The sequence below is a fragment of the Homo sapiens genome, chromosome X (genome assembly GCF_000001405.40).
Source record: "Homo sapiens chromosome X, GRCh38.p14 Primary Assembly".
Taxonomy (NCBI): domain Eukaryota; kingdom Metazoa; phylum Chordata; class Mammalia; order Primates; family Hominidae; genus Homo; species Homo sapiens.
In genome coordinates, this window is record NC_000023.11 from 150,359,656 (window position 1) to 150,374,312 (window position 14,657).

Here is a 14,657-nt window from a genome sequence, read left to right on the forward strand (position 1 = left end):
GGAATCACTCTCTGTACCTTTGTGACTGCCTGTAAGACTGCCACCAATGCATGTGTGCCACACTGCCCCTTGGTGACATGACCCGAAGCTGGTTTCATGTCATTAACACAAAGCTCTTTGCCTGCCCTCTAGCCTTCTTAACCTTTGTTTAGGTCATGAACCACCTTCAAATGTGATGACATCTATGGGCCCCTTTTCCAGTGGGTGTGTACAGTGCAGTGGCCCCCAGAGTTTCCTGAAAAGTTCCAGGAAAGCAGAATCTACTAACATTCATTGAACAGATACTCCATGCCAGGCACCGTGCTGGGAGCTGGGAAGACAGCAGTGAACAAAACAGACGCTGACTGCTACCCTCTTGGGATCTAACCTATAGAGGAGGTCAGCTAGCGGTAAGCGCTAAAGAGAAAACAAAGCTGGGAAGGAGAGAGGAAGTGCCAGAGATGGGCGTGGGGCTTTGAAATGTTACATAGGGTGGCCAGGTGACATTTGTGTCAAGACTAAAGGAAATGAGGGAGCCAGCCCATAGATATCTTGGGGAAGTGAATTCCAGCCCAAGGGAACAGCTAAAGCAAAAGTCCTAAGTAAAGCAGGAATGTATCTATGTGTTGAGGAAGAGTTGGGAGGTCTGTGTGGCTGGAGCACAGTGAGTGGAGGGAAGATGACGTTATTGAGATAGTGGAGGGACATGCCTGAAGGGCCCCAGAGGCCACTAGAAGCACTTCAGTTCTACTTTGAGTGCAATGGGGAGTCACTGTGGGGTTTGGCACAGAGATCGGGGAATAGACTGCAAGGAGAGGGTTGAAGGGAGGGAGGAATGAGGGCAGTCTGTGCGGCAGCTACTGGAGTTATCCTGGGGGGAGAGGCTGCTGGCTGGTACCCGGGGGGAGCAATGGATGAGCAGACTGACATTGTGGATACATTTTGATGATGCAGATGGCAGAATTGTCCACTGGACTGGCTGTGAGGTGTGAGCAAGAGAGAAGAATCGGGGAGGATCCCAGGGCCTTCTGCCTGGGCAACGTGAAGGATGGAGTAGCCATGAACTGAGGTAGCAGACTATGGGCTCAGCACACTTGGGAGACGATCAGGAACTCGGTTCAGTCAGGCGATTTCTAATGGCCATCCAGGTGCTGGTGCCAAGCAGGCAGTTAGCCATCTCGCAGACGTGTGGCTGTGATATTACAGGCTTCTTAGGATGCTCTAGGGGAATGGGCATCATTTGTCCCACTGAGGAAGATGAGAGCAAGTGGTCCAAGGGTTGAGTGGAGGTGCTGGGAACAGAAACCCACCTTCCATCTCCTTGGCTAGTGCACTTGGAGGTTGCAGATAGAATTTTAAAAGCATCCTGCCAATGCTCCGTGATAGGCATGGCCATCTCCCATTCAGCTTTGTTTAATCAGATTTCCTTCAAGGGACTCCCGCACTCTCGCAGTTCTACCGGGGCACTGGCAACCCTGAGATGACTCTAGCTCTCCCTGGAGGGCCTTGAAGGTAAGGTTCAGTCACCAGAGAGCAATAACCTCTTCTGGCTGCTTGCCCTTTGCAGAGCAGACAGGACTGGACCCAGACAAGGCGGATTCCTTCACAACTGCCCTGACGAACTGTGTACCCCCAGCCTCGCCCTGTTGGGCTGGGCGCATCCTGGCAGCGCTGGGGCTGCGAAGCCACAGCCCCTGCATGTGCCTCGCGGTTGGGCCTGGACGCCGCTCTTCCTCCAGGTAACTTCGTGAAACGCTAGGAGGCAATCGCCCAGCCTCACTGCGCCTACGTAGCCCACGAAGGGATCTTGCTGGGTTCTCGGAGGTGGCCCCAGCGCTTTCCGAGGGCCGAGAGCGTGGGCGTGGAGGGAAGGAGGGGCCTAGTGGGCGGCGGGCCCACCCCTTTATTCGTGGCCTGCGGCTCCGCTGAGCGTGACCAGATGTGTTGGTGACAGGTTGCTACTCAGAGGTGCGGACAGGAGCTGAGCGCTGCTGCTGTCGGAGCAGACGCGGCGTTCCCGGGTTGTGCTCAGCCCCTGCAGCTGCCATCGGCTGGAGAAGTCCAGGTTAGGAAACGCATCCGGGGAGGGGATCCTAGAGAAGGGGCGCAGCCAAATACCCGGGAGGTGGGATAGGTGGGAGGGGAGTCGCTGGACTCGGCGCCAGGGCAGATGGTGGACAGGGCGCGCTGGCCCGCCCGGCAGTTCCCAAGGAACCTATGTTCCTGCAGAAGCCGCAGGTGTCCGTCTTGGGATAACTGCGGAGGGAGCCAATCCAGCCCAGCTTGGGCGGGAGCATCGCGTGCCCTGGTCCAGTGGAACGGGAGACTGGCCAGCGAGCCTGGACTCTGAGCTAAGCGTACTGGCGGGCGACGCCGACAGCGTCCGCGCTAAGGGTGGGGGACTGGGAAGTGGGGAGTGGGGCACTCGGCCGGGATGGAGAGAATGCAGTTCACTAACTGCCACCTGAGAGCCCTGGTCCCCGCTGCCGCCACAGCGGGTCTGTTTGGCAGTCAGGGCGCGAGCTGGTGAGCGGATGCGTGGGCGGAGGGACTGGCGCTACCCACCCAGCAGCCACCCACTGCAGGTGAGTGCCCCTCCCAGGGCGAGGGGAGGAGAAGGGCCTGGCCGCTAGCCCTAGGGTCAGGCTCTGGTGAAAATGGGAAGGGGGATGGGGGCTGAATAGGCTACTTTGTGATGAGACTCCCGTCCCTGTGACACTTCAGGGTCCTCTGGGGATCTGTCATTCCTCTTGCAAGCTCTCTTGTTCTCTGGTCCCTCTCCTCCTCTCCTTATTTCCTCCTCTCCTCTCCTCTCCTCTCATCTCCTCTCCTCTCCTCTCCCTTCATCGTGTCTCTACCTCTATCTCCGCCGGTGCCTCTCTCGGTATCTGTCTCTCAGTCTCTGCCTTCTCTGTGTCTCGTACGGTCTCCTGTCTTTCTTGGTCTCTCGGTCCTGAGCGCTCTCTCGCCCTGTCACTGATGACCGCTGGCTTTTGGCTCTCCGTGCTCGCTCTTCGTGTGTCCCGGCCACGCACGGCTCACCAGCTCGTTTTCCCCAGACGCGGAAAGTCTACCTTCGGCGTGCGGGTTTCCCAAGCGCGCCGGGCCCCGCCTGCGGCCCTCCGGCGGGCTCTGTCTGCTGGAGGCGCTCCGCTAACCCTGCTGTCGCCTCTTTCCACCAGCGCACCGCCTAGGCAAGCCAGCTGACGCCGGGGGCACAGACCACCCTCCACTGAGTGCGGAGCAGCCAAGGTGAGTGCACCGATGCCCCTTCCGCCCCTCCGATCCCTCCCCAGCTGCCCTGGTTCGAGCCGACTGGAGAAATGAGGCTGCAACAGCGAAGCCAGCCTGCGGCCGCTTTCTCCTCTAAAGACTGGTGGGAGGGCCCGGGAGGCCCCTCGGGCGGCCGCAGCTCTTTGGCTGCCCGCTGCCCCATCCCGGAGTGGAAACCCTGAGTTTCCAGGCTTCGGGCTGGCGGGGTCGCGGGCAGGGCAGCGCGGCTTCCCCTTTAAGGCCGGAGCCGCTCGTCGCCGTGAGTGTGAGGGTGTGTGAGTGTGCGGCGTGCGTGTCTCCTCCTCCCCGAGTGACACAGCAGTGAGAAATGCCTATCAGTAACTTAAACCCCCGAAACTCCACCTTCCGGGCGCGCGGCGCGGAGCCGGGCGGTGGGAATGGAGCGAGCAGATTGAGGCCGCCACTGCAGCGCCGCCAGCATGAACTTGGCCGCGAGCTGAAGCGGCCGGCGGCGGGCGGGCGCGGGGGCACCGGCCGCTAGCCAGGGGGTGATCTGCAACAGGGCTGGGTTCCTTGGCGGCCGCCTGAGTCCAGGCTGCCCGCGCCGGCGGCCGCCCGCCCCTCGGACACTGCCCCCGCCGCCGCCGGAGCTCTGCAGCACGGTAAGGCTGAGGGCGGGTGCAGGAAGTCTGACTGTTCTGGGGGTTCCGGGGTACACTTGTAGCCCCCAGTTATGGTCCCCATCGCTGAGGATCGGGGTCCCAGGGGTGCTTCGAGTCGGTAGACCCTAAAGTTTGCTCTGAGCACACGGCCCACCTGGCGCTGCGGGCGGCCACCCCCTTCTCGAACCAGCCCGGCTGGGCTGGGCGCAGCTCGAAACGCCGGAGACCACGGCCTTTGGCTCGGCGCCCGTCGGGCGTCTGAAATCCGGCGGGGACAGCCACGTACCGGGGAGGAAAGGTAGAAGGGCGCAAGCTCCTCGGGCTACGCTGGGCTACTGGGAGGCTCCCACTCTGTCCCAGCACCCCCGGGTCGCTTGCAGCCTGGGTGTCACCGGCGACGGTGCCTTCACATGCCAGCTGCCTGAGCCCAGGCCAGTAGGCAGTGGGCGCTGGATGAAGGATTTCCCCACCCCAACGCTGTTTGCCGCCTCTGAGCGAGAGTGTGGAGTGTGCGCGCCGAATCCGCTGCCCTGCACTCCCTCCCCTGCCAACTCCTGGGAAGCGCAGCCCGGAGCTGAGCTGGTGTTCAGGGCAGCCCGGACTGGGTTCCTGCGGAGCAGCCCCGGCGCCCCTGCGTCAGAGTCCGCGCTTCAGGTTCCCCAGCATCCGCGCGACGACAGAGCTGGGCGCCCGGCGCCGGCTAGCGCGGGCGGGAAGCCCCCCGGAGCGCCGCCAAATACTTTTCTCGGCCAGTTGGCTTGGCCAGGCTCCGTCCCAATGCAGTGTGTCCGAAGCCTCCTGGAAAGCTGGAGATGTCGTCTGATTCTGATCCGTGATTAAATTCGGACTGAGCAGACACTAATAGGATTAGCCTGCCAGAAAGCTCGGCCCTGAAGCCATCGGAACCTGTGCAAACACGCGCCTCGGGCTGGAGCATTCACTCCCGCCCCGCCGCGCTTCTGCAGCTGGGTGCGGCTGACCTGGGCACCCGGAGTGTGGGTGTGTGTGAGCGGGCGGGAGCACAGCGTGGCTGGGGGACGTGGGGAGAAGGGGCTGCTTTTGCTGGGGTGGCTTGTCGTTGTTGTTTGGCACCACGGTGCCCCCCGGGGGCGCGGTCCCCACGGTGAACGTGCTGCTCACGGGTAGGCAAACCCAGGCCGGCTCCGGGACATTGTCTGCAAGGGCGAGCGAGCCGAGCTTACTAGAGGCGGCTGCGCTGGAACAAAGGCGCAAAGTCTCCCTGAGACCAAGCAATTTTGAAAGAGTTGGCTAGGGAGAGGGCCTGGGTCTCCCGGGGTAGACCCCCGCGGGAATTGCGCCGCCCCCAGCGGCCCCGGCCCGCGCCTGGGGAATTGTGTTCCCTGGTTGCGGTGAGCCGGCGAGCGACATCGCAGCGGCGCGGCCCAGCTCTTGGCAGGCGTGGGTTGCCGCCCGAGTGCCCACCGGCCGGGCGGGGTCGACCGTGCACCCGCCGGGGCTTCCCGGCCGCCACCGCAGCTCTGGGCCCCTGGAGGCCGCGCAGCTTCTTTCCTTCCCTCCCTCCCACCTCTTCTTGTCTTTATAGATCCCCCCTCCCTCCCACCCCCGCCGCCGCCGCCGCCAACAATCCGCTTTATAAAAAGCCCCTTTGTTTCCCAGGAGGCTGGAGAGAGGGAAGGGGAAAAGGGACGCAGAGGCAGAGGGCGGGGGCGGCTGTCTCCAAGTGGTTTCGAGCCGCTCGGGACAGGAGGGCAAGTGTAGGCGATGGGGGAGGGGGCTGTGTTTCGAGGACCCTCTGTGGGAACCCACGAAGGCGCACGGAGCCTCAGCCCCGGCCCTCGCTGCACGCCCGGCCTGCCAGCCCTGGACACCCTAAATCCTGGCGGCCGGGACGGCCGAGTGGACTGCACTGCGAGCTGGCGGGCGCGCGCAGAGGCCCTAGGCTGCAAGCGCTCCGCGGGGTGGGCAGACGCGACTCGCCGATGCGCTCGCCGGGCTCGGGCATAGGGGGCGCCCTTTCCTTGGTTTCGCTTTGCAGCGGGCGCCCCTCGCCGCCGGAGCTCAGGGCAGCTGTCGCGCCCGCCGGTGGCTAAGACGGAGGCGGCAGCTCGGAGGCTTAGGCCACCCGCGTCTGGCTACACGCCTCATTTCTTCCCGCGCCCTCCTGCCACACCCTCCGCCCCACCACACACAAGGGCTCAAACTCTCCGAGCGCCCTTTGTTTGGAGGCGCGGAGGCAGTGGGAGCCGCCACCTCCGGGGTTCGTGTAGCCTAGGCGGGCAGTGAGGATGAGCGTGCTACTCTGGACTGCGCGCTGGCCTGCTGCCTCTGCACCTAACCCAGCGCCTGACACTAAAGCTGCCAGCTTTAGTTAGATTGACCATTTAGCGGGTCCTTGTCCCTTATAACTGCCCCCCTAAAACTTTCGAGAACCAGGGCTTGCACTGAGGAATGTCAAATATAATGTTAGAAGTAACCTTTCGCCATTCTGTTGGCCTGCTCCGCCCCTGTGCCCCAAAGTGGTCGGTGTCTCTCATAGAGTTTGTTCGGGAAGGGAATACTGAAAAGAAAAAAGTGACAAATAAGGAAAGTGGGCGGGGCCCAGGCTCAGGCTGGTGGGTCTCCCAAGCGAAGTCAGATTCCACCCGCTCTCTGGCCGCCTCCGCCCCTCCTACTTCCATTTAATCTGATGTCGACGTTTTATTTGTGCCTTTTTGCATATCTTTCTCCTACTCCCCTCCCCTCCCATCTCTGGAGGTTATTGATAAGTGCTGCTCAAACATTTGTTCTCTGCGTCTTTGGAGTAGAAGATGAAGCGTTAACACCCTCAACGCGCATACACACATCCCAAATGCGCGCATACACACATCCCAACTGCATCTAAAACCACAAGAAAGTAATCAAAGGGTAAACTACTGGTTCTGCCTTCTCCTCCCTCCTTTGTGCTTCTCTTCTGGAGCAAGATCATTGGAAAATAAAGCTGCTGATGTGCGAGATGGAACATATGGTGCCTCCATAAGAGAGAAGCTGAAATGGCCTTGAACCTGCCGGACAGACCAGCTGTTTGCTGCCAGCCAGAGCAGCTAATCAGCTTCTTCCCCTTAAAGTAACAGCCCTCTTTTCACTTCATGACCAGTTTGCATATTAAATAGGATATTCTCCAGAGGGGAAAAGTGATGGGCTCCTATACTGCTTTGTGCTTGGTGGTTCTCCAATGCCTGCTCCCTGCTCTGGGGGCCGCCCTGCCCTCTCCCGGTGCCTGCCTGCGATGTGCGAGTGTTTCTTTCAGTACTGAAGTAAGAATGTTGCTCAAAGTGGAACTTGGGACAGACGAGGCAGGAAAAAAGAAAGAAAGAGGTGGGGCTGAGAGATTTCCAGATGCCTGGGAGGAAATCTCTCTGTTTTGTTCAGCTTCGGAAAAAACTAGCATTCTTTCCCCCCTTTCCCCCTTTAAAAATATCACAAAGAGCTGAAGCTTTTCCTTACAAGATCTCCTTAAAAATCATCCTCTTCCGGCTGTGACCATTTTCAGTTTTTCTTCAGTACAATGTGTTGGGGTGGGGGGTGGGGAAGAGTTTGGCGTTGGAAGAAGAAAGCCTTTAGGAGATACAAGGAAATTCCATGTTAGGAAATCATTAGCAAAGGGTGACTTCGTCTGTTTTCCTGCCACTGACGCTGACAGTGACACAGATGTGTGGGTTGAAATAGGAACGTCATTGAATTTTTACACTCCACCAGGAAATACCCTGTTTCTGGGGTGGGGGTGGGGTCTACAGATTCACTGCAACTTAAGGTAGGAGATTCACTACTGTCAATCCTTTTTACTAAGGAAAGGGATTTTTTTAGCTTAGCCAGCATGTTTAATGTATTTTCTTCCCTTTTAAATTGATCACCTAAAGGCATAAAATGCACCTGTTAATGGATGGTCCCTAGGAAACTCAATTACTATTTGGGGTTATGAAAGGGAATAAACTGGTCTTAGACAAGTGGCTCTTCTGAAAATAGCTGGACTATGCCTCTTCTTTAAAGGAGCCTCAATATACAGTAAAACCTTTTTTTATTATTGCACTTTAAGTTCTAGGGTACATGTGCACAACGTGCAGGTTTGTTACATATGTATACATGTGCCATGTTGGTGTGCTGCACCCATTAACTCGTCATTTAACATTAGGTATATCTCCTAATGCTGTCCCTCCCTCCTCCCCCCACCCCACGACAGGCCCCGGTGTGTGATGTTCCCCTTCCTGTGTCCATGTGTTCTCATTGTTCAATTCCCACCTATGAGTGAGAACATGCGGTGTTTGGTTTTTTGTCCTTGCGATAGTTTGCTGAGAATGATGGTTTCTAGCTTCATCCATGTCCCTACAAAGGACATGAACTCATCCTTTTTTATGGCTGCGTAGTATTCCATGGTGTATATGTGCCACATTTTCTTAAGCCAGTCTATCATTGATGGACATTTGGGTTGGTTCCAAGTCTTTGCTATTGTGAATAGTGCCGCAATAAACATACGTGTGCATGTGTCTTTATAGCAGCATGATTTATAATCCTTTGGGTATATACCCAGTAATGGGATGGCTGGGTCAAATGGTATTTCTACTTCTAGATCCTTGAGGAATTGCCACACTGTCTTCCACAATGGTTGAACTAGTTTACAGTCCCACCAACAGTGTAAAAGTGTTCCTATTTCTCCACATCCTCTCCAGCACCTGTTGTTTCCTGACTTTTTAATGATCGCCATTCTAACTGGTGTGAGATGGTATCTCATTGTGGTTTTGATTTGCATTTCTCTGATGGCCAGTGATGATGAGCATTTTTTCATGTGTCTGCTGGCTGCGTAAATGTCTTCTTTTGAGAAGTGTCTGTTCATATCCTTCGCCCAATTTTTGATGGGGTTGTTTTTTTTTTTTCTTGTAAATTTGTTTGAGTTCTTTGTAGATTCTGTATATTAGCCCTTTGTCAGATGAGTAGATTGCAAAAATTTTCTCCCGTTCTGTAGGTTGCCCGTTCACTCTGATGGTAGTTTCTTTTGCTGTGCAGAAGCTCTTTAGTTTAATTAGATCCCATTTGTCAATTTTGGCTTTTGTTGCCATTGCTTTTGGTGTTTTAGACATGAAGTCCTTGCCCATGCCTATGTCCTGAATGGCATTGCCTAGGTTTTCTTCTAGGGTTTTTATGGTTTTAGGTCTCACATTTAAGTCTTTAATCCATCTTGAATTAATTTTTGTATAAGGTATAAGGAAGGGATCCAGTTTCAGCTTTCTACATATGGCTAGCCAGTTTTCCCAGCATCTTTTATTAAATAGGGAATCCTTTCCCCATTTCTTGTTTTTGTCAGGTTTGTCAAAGATCAGATGGTTGTAGATGTGTGGTATTATTTCTGAGGGCTCTGTTCTGTTCCATTGGTCTATATCTCTGCTTTGGTACCAGTACCATGCTGTTTTGGTTACTGTAGCCTTGTAGTATAGTTTGAAGTCAGGTAGCATGATGCCTCCAGCTTTGTTCTTTTGGCTTAGGATTGTCTTGGCAATGCAGGCTCTTTTTTGGTTCCATATGAACTTTAAAGTAGTTTTTTCCAATTCTGTGAAGAAAGTCATTGGTAGCTTGATGGGGATGGCATTGAATAAACCCTTTTTTTTTAAGATTCTGATTTTTTTTTTTTCTGCAACAGTGCATTGCACAGATCATTAGCCTAGGAGCTGGGAAACTTGTGTTCTAGAAAGTTCTGCCCACTAATTAACAGAGTGATCTTGGACAAGTCCATCCTTTCTCTCCCCCAATCCCATGACCTCTGAGTCTGAGTCCCTTCCAGTTCTAAAACACTATGGTTTGTGAATGAAATAGTCATTTTCTGGGAAAGTGAAACATCAAGTTCAACCTTGTCATTGGGAAACAGCTAGACAGATAATAAAAAGGGGCTGATATTTTGAAGGGCAAGGATAAAAAGGAGGAGTAAAAAAATGGCAGAAGGCCAATCAAAACAATACAAAAGTGTGAAGTGTTCACCTTTTTGTGTCTTTTGCAAGTGTGAACTTCTAACCCAGAATCAGAGACAGCGGACATCAGAAATCAACCCAAAGTTTCTCTTGTCCAGTACTCCTATTGATGGCAGGCCTCCTAATCATTGGGTTGGTATACAGATAACGGGATCTAAACTCTTTAGAGTAGACTGGCATATTTCCAAAGGACTCATCTAATGTAGAGCAGATTTGCTGCTTTGCAGTTATTTAGTGAAGGTTTCAAAGACAAAAAGGCCTTCCATCCACACACACGTGCACCACTGGGGTGTGGGTTCTGAACCCATTGTTGAACCTTTTCTTTTCTTCCTAATCCAGCTGTTTTTTTTTAAATCACATTTCCAACTTTGGGGATACAGCAGCCATGTAAGAACCTGCTGCTGTCCTACTTGATGTTAATATTGATTTTTTAAAGGGGCAGGGGTGAACATTATGAAGAAGGACTCTTTATCCTCTGAGTTCTTTGGCAATTATCTTGCTGCCATAAATGTTGATACACATATAATGGATGTAACTAAAAAACTCCTTATCCAAGCAGAAAAGGCTGAGTGTTTGTTGGAGCAGATAGAATGCTGAGAGTGTGAATAGACCAACCCAGATGTCACTGGGGAGGGAGATAAATGATGGAGGAACAGGAGCCGGTTACTATGGATCAGCACAATAAACCAATTCCCATCATACACCTCTCACAACGCCACCGAGGGGTAACCTAGGCAGCACCAGTCAACTGTATGGCAGGAAAAAAGCATTGCAAAGCTCAATTGGAACTGGCCTGGTTTTGTAGGCATTGGGTCCTTAAACATCTTCAGTACTTCGAGGAGGAAAATTTCATAAATCCGAATGAACCTGAAGAGACTGTGTTGCAAATACTTATTACTTCTTATTTTTGTTGTGTCATTGTTGTTCTTTAGTCTGTAAAGGTGTCAAAGGAAGAAGAAAAGGCCCCATGGAGCTGTCAGGACAGTTAGTCAGGGGGTTGTCCATGGAGGTAAGAAACAGTAGCTTGTGTTATAGGATATTTACATGCCAAGATTGGAGGTGCATAGTCCTGTGGGGTCCTGCTCCCAAATTACCAGCCCAGGGCTGCTGAAGCCCCAAGAGCATTTTCTTCCAGAGGTGGAGACAGAAGCAAAAGAGTTGGGTTACCTTATTTCCCTGCCTCCACCCCCCCAGCTCTGGTTGCTTTCTTTCTCCCCTTCACAGAGCCTCCCTGGTTTCCTTCAAACCTCGAGTTTTCTCCTAAAATCTGACATCTTTATAACATCCAAAGCAATCAGATATGAAACAGTTCAAAAATATTCCCCCCGGGGGAGGGAATAGCAAGGGGCCTCCCTGGCTGTAGGCACTGAGCTCCCAGAGTAAAGGCTTCCAGAGACAGGGCCTAAGGAGGGTTTGGGAGCAAGAAGCAAAAAGCTCTTTGCAAAGTTTAGGAGAGCTTTCCTTGCCCAGATTGGCTATCTTGAGCCTCCCTGAGGCCCCAGCTTCAGACTACTCCCTCCCTTCCTCGGCCTGCAAGAGGGTGGGCTCTTCATACCCCTGGAGGAGGACCCCCGACCCACCCACCAAGGCAACTCAGTCCTGCCCGGCTGCCCTCTGACCTGGACACAGCCAGTGCCCCTTTCTGCACAGCCCAGTTGGAGCCTCCCAGACCCCCATTTCCTTGGTGGGCAGGTGGGGTAAGCTACCTTACCCTCCCATGTGCCCTGCTGCTTGTTCTGCCAAGTAAATAACCAGTAAGTGGATTTTGGGAAAGGCCATTTTCTTAAGGCTGAGAATTGTTCCCTGAGGTTCAGAGAAGGATGGAGTGGACCAGGTGATATCATCTTGTTGGAAGAGGGCCTAGCAGGCCAGCCGTTGATTTTTTCCCCTTTCTTCCACCTGTGCGAGTACCTAGACACTAGACCACAGGGACAGTTTTCTGCTGATTTTGGAAGAGATCATTGGAGGCCACAGCACCTGAGCTAGTTAATGGCATCCAGGTCAAAAAGGCCTGGTGGCCCCAGCTTGTGTTCACCTGTGAGAGGAAAGTGTGGGTCTTTGGAGCATAAAGACAGGAAAAAAACAAAGTCAAGTAATTCTGAACACATTGAGGAATTCCAAGTTCTTGGTCCAATTGTCCCAGCTCCACCCTCACCCCACAAGTAATGCATTTCTATTTTTTCCTGCATTTGAATCCGAAATTCCACTCTCAGCTTCGGCAGCGTGCTGTGACAGAGTGGGGAGGAGGAAGACAGGACCCAGCTCTGCCTTCCTTTCTGTGGCTATGCCAGTCAGTTGACCATTGCACCTGTACATAGTTAGCACAGGTGCACCACCTCACCTGCAAACTCAGATGTTGAAAGATGGAGAATCTTACAGCTGGAAGAGTAAAACCCCATGATTTTACAGAAGAGGAAACTGAGGCCCAGAGAAGCGTCTGACTTTCCTATGGGGACATAGTAAAGGGAGCCCAAAGTTGACAGAACCCTGGTCTCTAGTTCTCAGTCAAGTGTAGAACATCCATTTTGCACCCATGTGTGGGCAGACAGGCTTTCCTTTTGAGGCAGAGCAAATGTGGTAAAAAGAAATGCAGCCAATGGAGGGGGAGCGCTTGTAACTGTGGCGTAATATAATCTACCCTGTATCAACGTGTGCTTTGCTCAGCATTGTTAGGACAGCAAAGGGGCATATTAGAATCTGAACTCGAAGTCTGGAAGTAGCTGGAGAATGGAGATTGTAAATTAAGAATTAGAAGGTAGTGTGTGTCTCGTTTTCGAGTTGCTGTCAGAGAGTCAGGCAGCCAGCCCTGTGGAGGGCTTGGCTGGGTGGGCTCCTCTGGCAATGGTGGGAGGTTGTTTGGGTTTGGCTCTTAATGAGATCTCAGTGTTAATATCTGCCTCTGGAAGTTCCAGCACCAGCCTCGGAATTTTAAGTGGGACAGTAGTTTTGGTGCAGTTGCCAACGTCACATGGTTTGCGTGTCTAATTCTGAAAGACTGGCATGCTTTATGCTAGGCTTCGGGAGGAGGGCACAGCGTTTCTAAGCTGCTTGTCTGTCAAGGATTAATTTAACCTCTAATTACTACATTTTCTTCGCAGTTTGCTGCACGAACATGTTGTAACAAAGCTCAAAGAAGTATGCCATTTTATTTCCCTGCCACTCTAAAATTAATTTCCGGAATACGGAGTCAAACCTGACACACTTGGTGTTAAAATAATTGTGCTGACATTCGAGCTAAAGTGAACAATCTGGTTGTTTCTAGTGATCCCCCAGCCATGGGGTAAAGAGCATTATCATGTTAGTTGCCATGACAGTTCTCGAAATGAGCCCTGAAAATATCAAGGAGTGTCACTGCACTAATCCCACCAGGGGAGCACCAGACACAAAGGTAACACCCGAGCACGTGGCTGGGGTGTTAGTTTTGGAGTATGACTGATGCCCTGTGCAATAGGGCAGCCAGGGAGTCCTTTCTCACCCACTAATAGGGCTCGTGGTGAGGTCTTGTCCCACAGCACGAGGTGAGCACATTATCAAATCGGAGGCTCCCAAGAGCCTGCCCCTGGGGCCAAACCTGTTCTGAGTGGCTGTGACAATGAAATCACAAGATGAAGTTAATGGGGATTCTCCAGGCAGGCTTTTCTCCCTCCTCCTGCCTGCTCTTCCTGGGCGTCCCGCACCAGCAATCCCCAAGAGTAACAGCCCTTTGGCAGTCCCACATATATCTTTTATCCCCACCTTCCCAAACAGCAGCAGTGGATCCCAGAGTGGGAGGCCCGTTCCCCATTCTGGGTGCTTGAGAAGACTGCATTCTCAGGCCCTGGTTGGGGAGACTTAGCAGCATTGTTGGTTGCCTAGTTTGGGTCCACCGAAGCTGATTTGTGGGATTTGAGAGTTGGCCAGGTTAGCCATTTGAGTTCTCATCTCCTTGCTCAGGTGGTTGTGAAGAGCTCTCTCTCTCTCTCACACACACACACACACACACACAGGTACACACACACAGACACACTCACACACTCACCCTCTCTCAGGAGTAGAACTTTGCCAAGATAGCAAAGGCTAGGTCTGAAGCCCTATTCTGCATACGGCTGGGGACAGGCTCACTGGCATTTTCAGCCATGCCTTTGGCTGCCAAATCCCGAGCAAATCGAGTTTAGGTTCAGTACCCCTACATTTTCCTTACCGGTTTCTAGACTTGCCTCCTGCTTCTCACACCCCCTCTCCACCTTACCTAGAAAGATGCCATCCTCAGCCCGCTGTACCTTAGTGGGATTCCCTTCCTCTGGAGAATCTGGAGCCTCTAACTTGAATTAAAAGATGCAAGAGTTACCATGCCTTGGAGAGAATCTGCTGTTTAGGGCACAGGTAAGGAGGTATTCAGGGCTTAGGGAAGCCCTCTAATCCACACCCCACCCTCCACCCCACCAAATGGTACCATGCCTGGCATAAAGCTGGTCCTATTTATGAGTTAGAGAACTGCCTGGTTGCCAAGGTTTTTCTGAGCTTGCCCTCAGGGAAGCTAACCCCAGTTGGTCTCTTGAACCTCAAATCATAACAAAAATGACTCCCTATCCTCTGAAGCAGGAGTGGCTGTTTGCCTCTTAGGGATCACAGACTTCTTTGTGAATCTGATGAAAGCTCTGGGTCTTCTCCTTAGACAATTGAAAAATAACACGCAATGTTGCATCTAATTTAGGGTACTACTAGGCCTTAAGCCCACTCATGGTTCTCTCGAGGATCTTTTGTCACAGGTTAAGAAAGCCTCAATATGAGCTTTCGGCAGGAGACATTGACCAACTGTGGGATTTTA

The 14,657-nt window shown here is 53.1% G+C and overlaps 1 protein-coding gene across 11 annotated transcripts in view; it reads left to right on the forward strand.

Annotated features, from left to right (window-relative positions):
* MAMLD1 (mastermind like domain containing 1) overlaps window positions 1,917–14,657 on the forward strand; it is a 152,602-nt gene continuing 139,861 nt past the window's right edge. For 5 of the 11 annotated variants that reach the window (NM_001400515.1, NM_001400513.1, XM_011531092.4 and 2 more), the window contains exons 1-2: window positions 1,917–2,044; window positions 3,162–3,231. The gene's annotated coding sequence lies outside the window, so the exon portion shown is untranslated. Of the gene's footprint in view, window positions 2,045–2,474; window positions 2,565–3,161; window positions 3,232–3,661; window positions 4,875–14,082; window positions 14,213–14,657 lie in introns of those variants that run through there. The other 6 variants (NM_005491.5, NM_001400512.1, NM_001177465.3 and 3 more) reach the window with 4 other exon arrangements.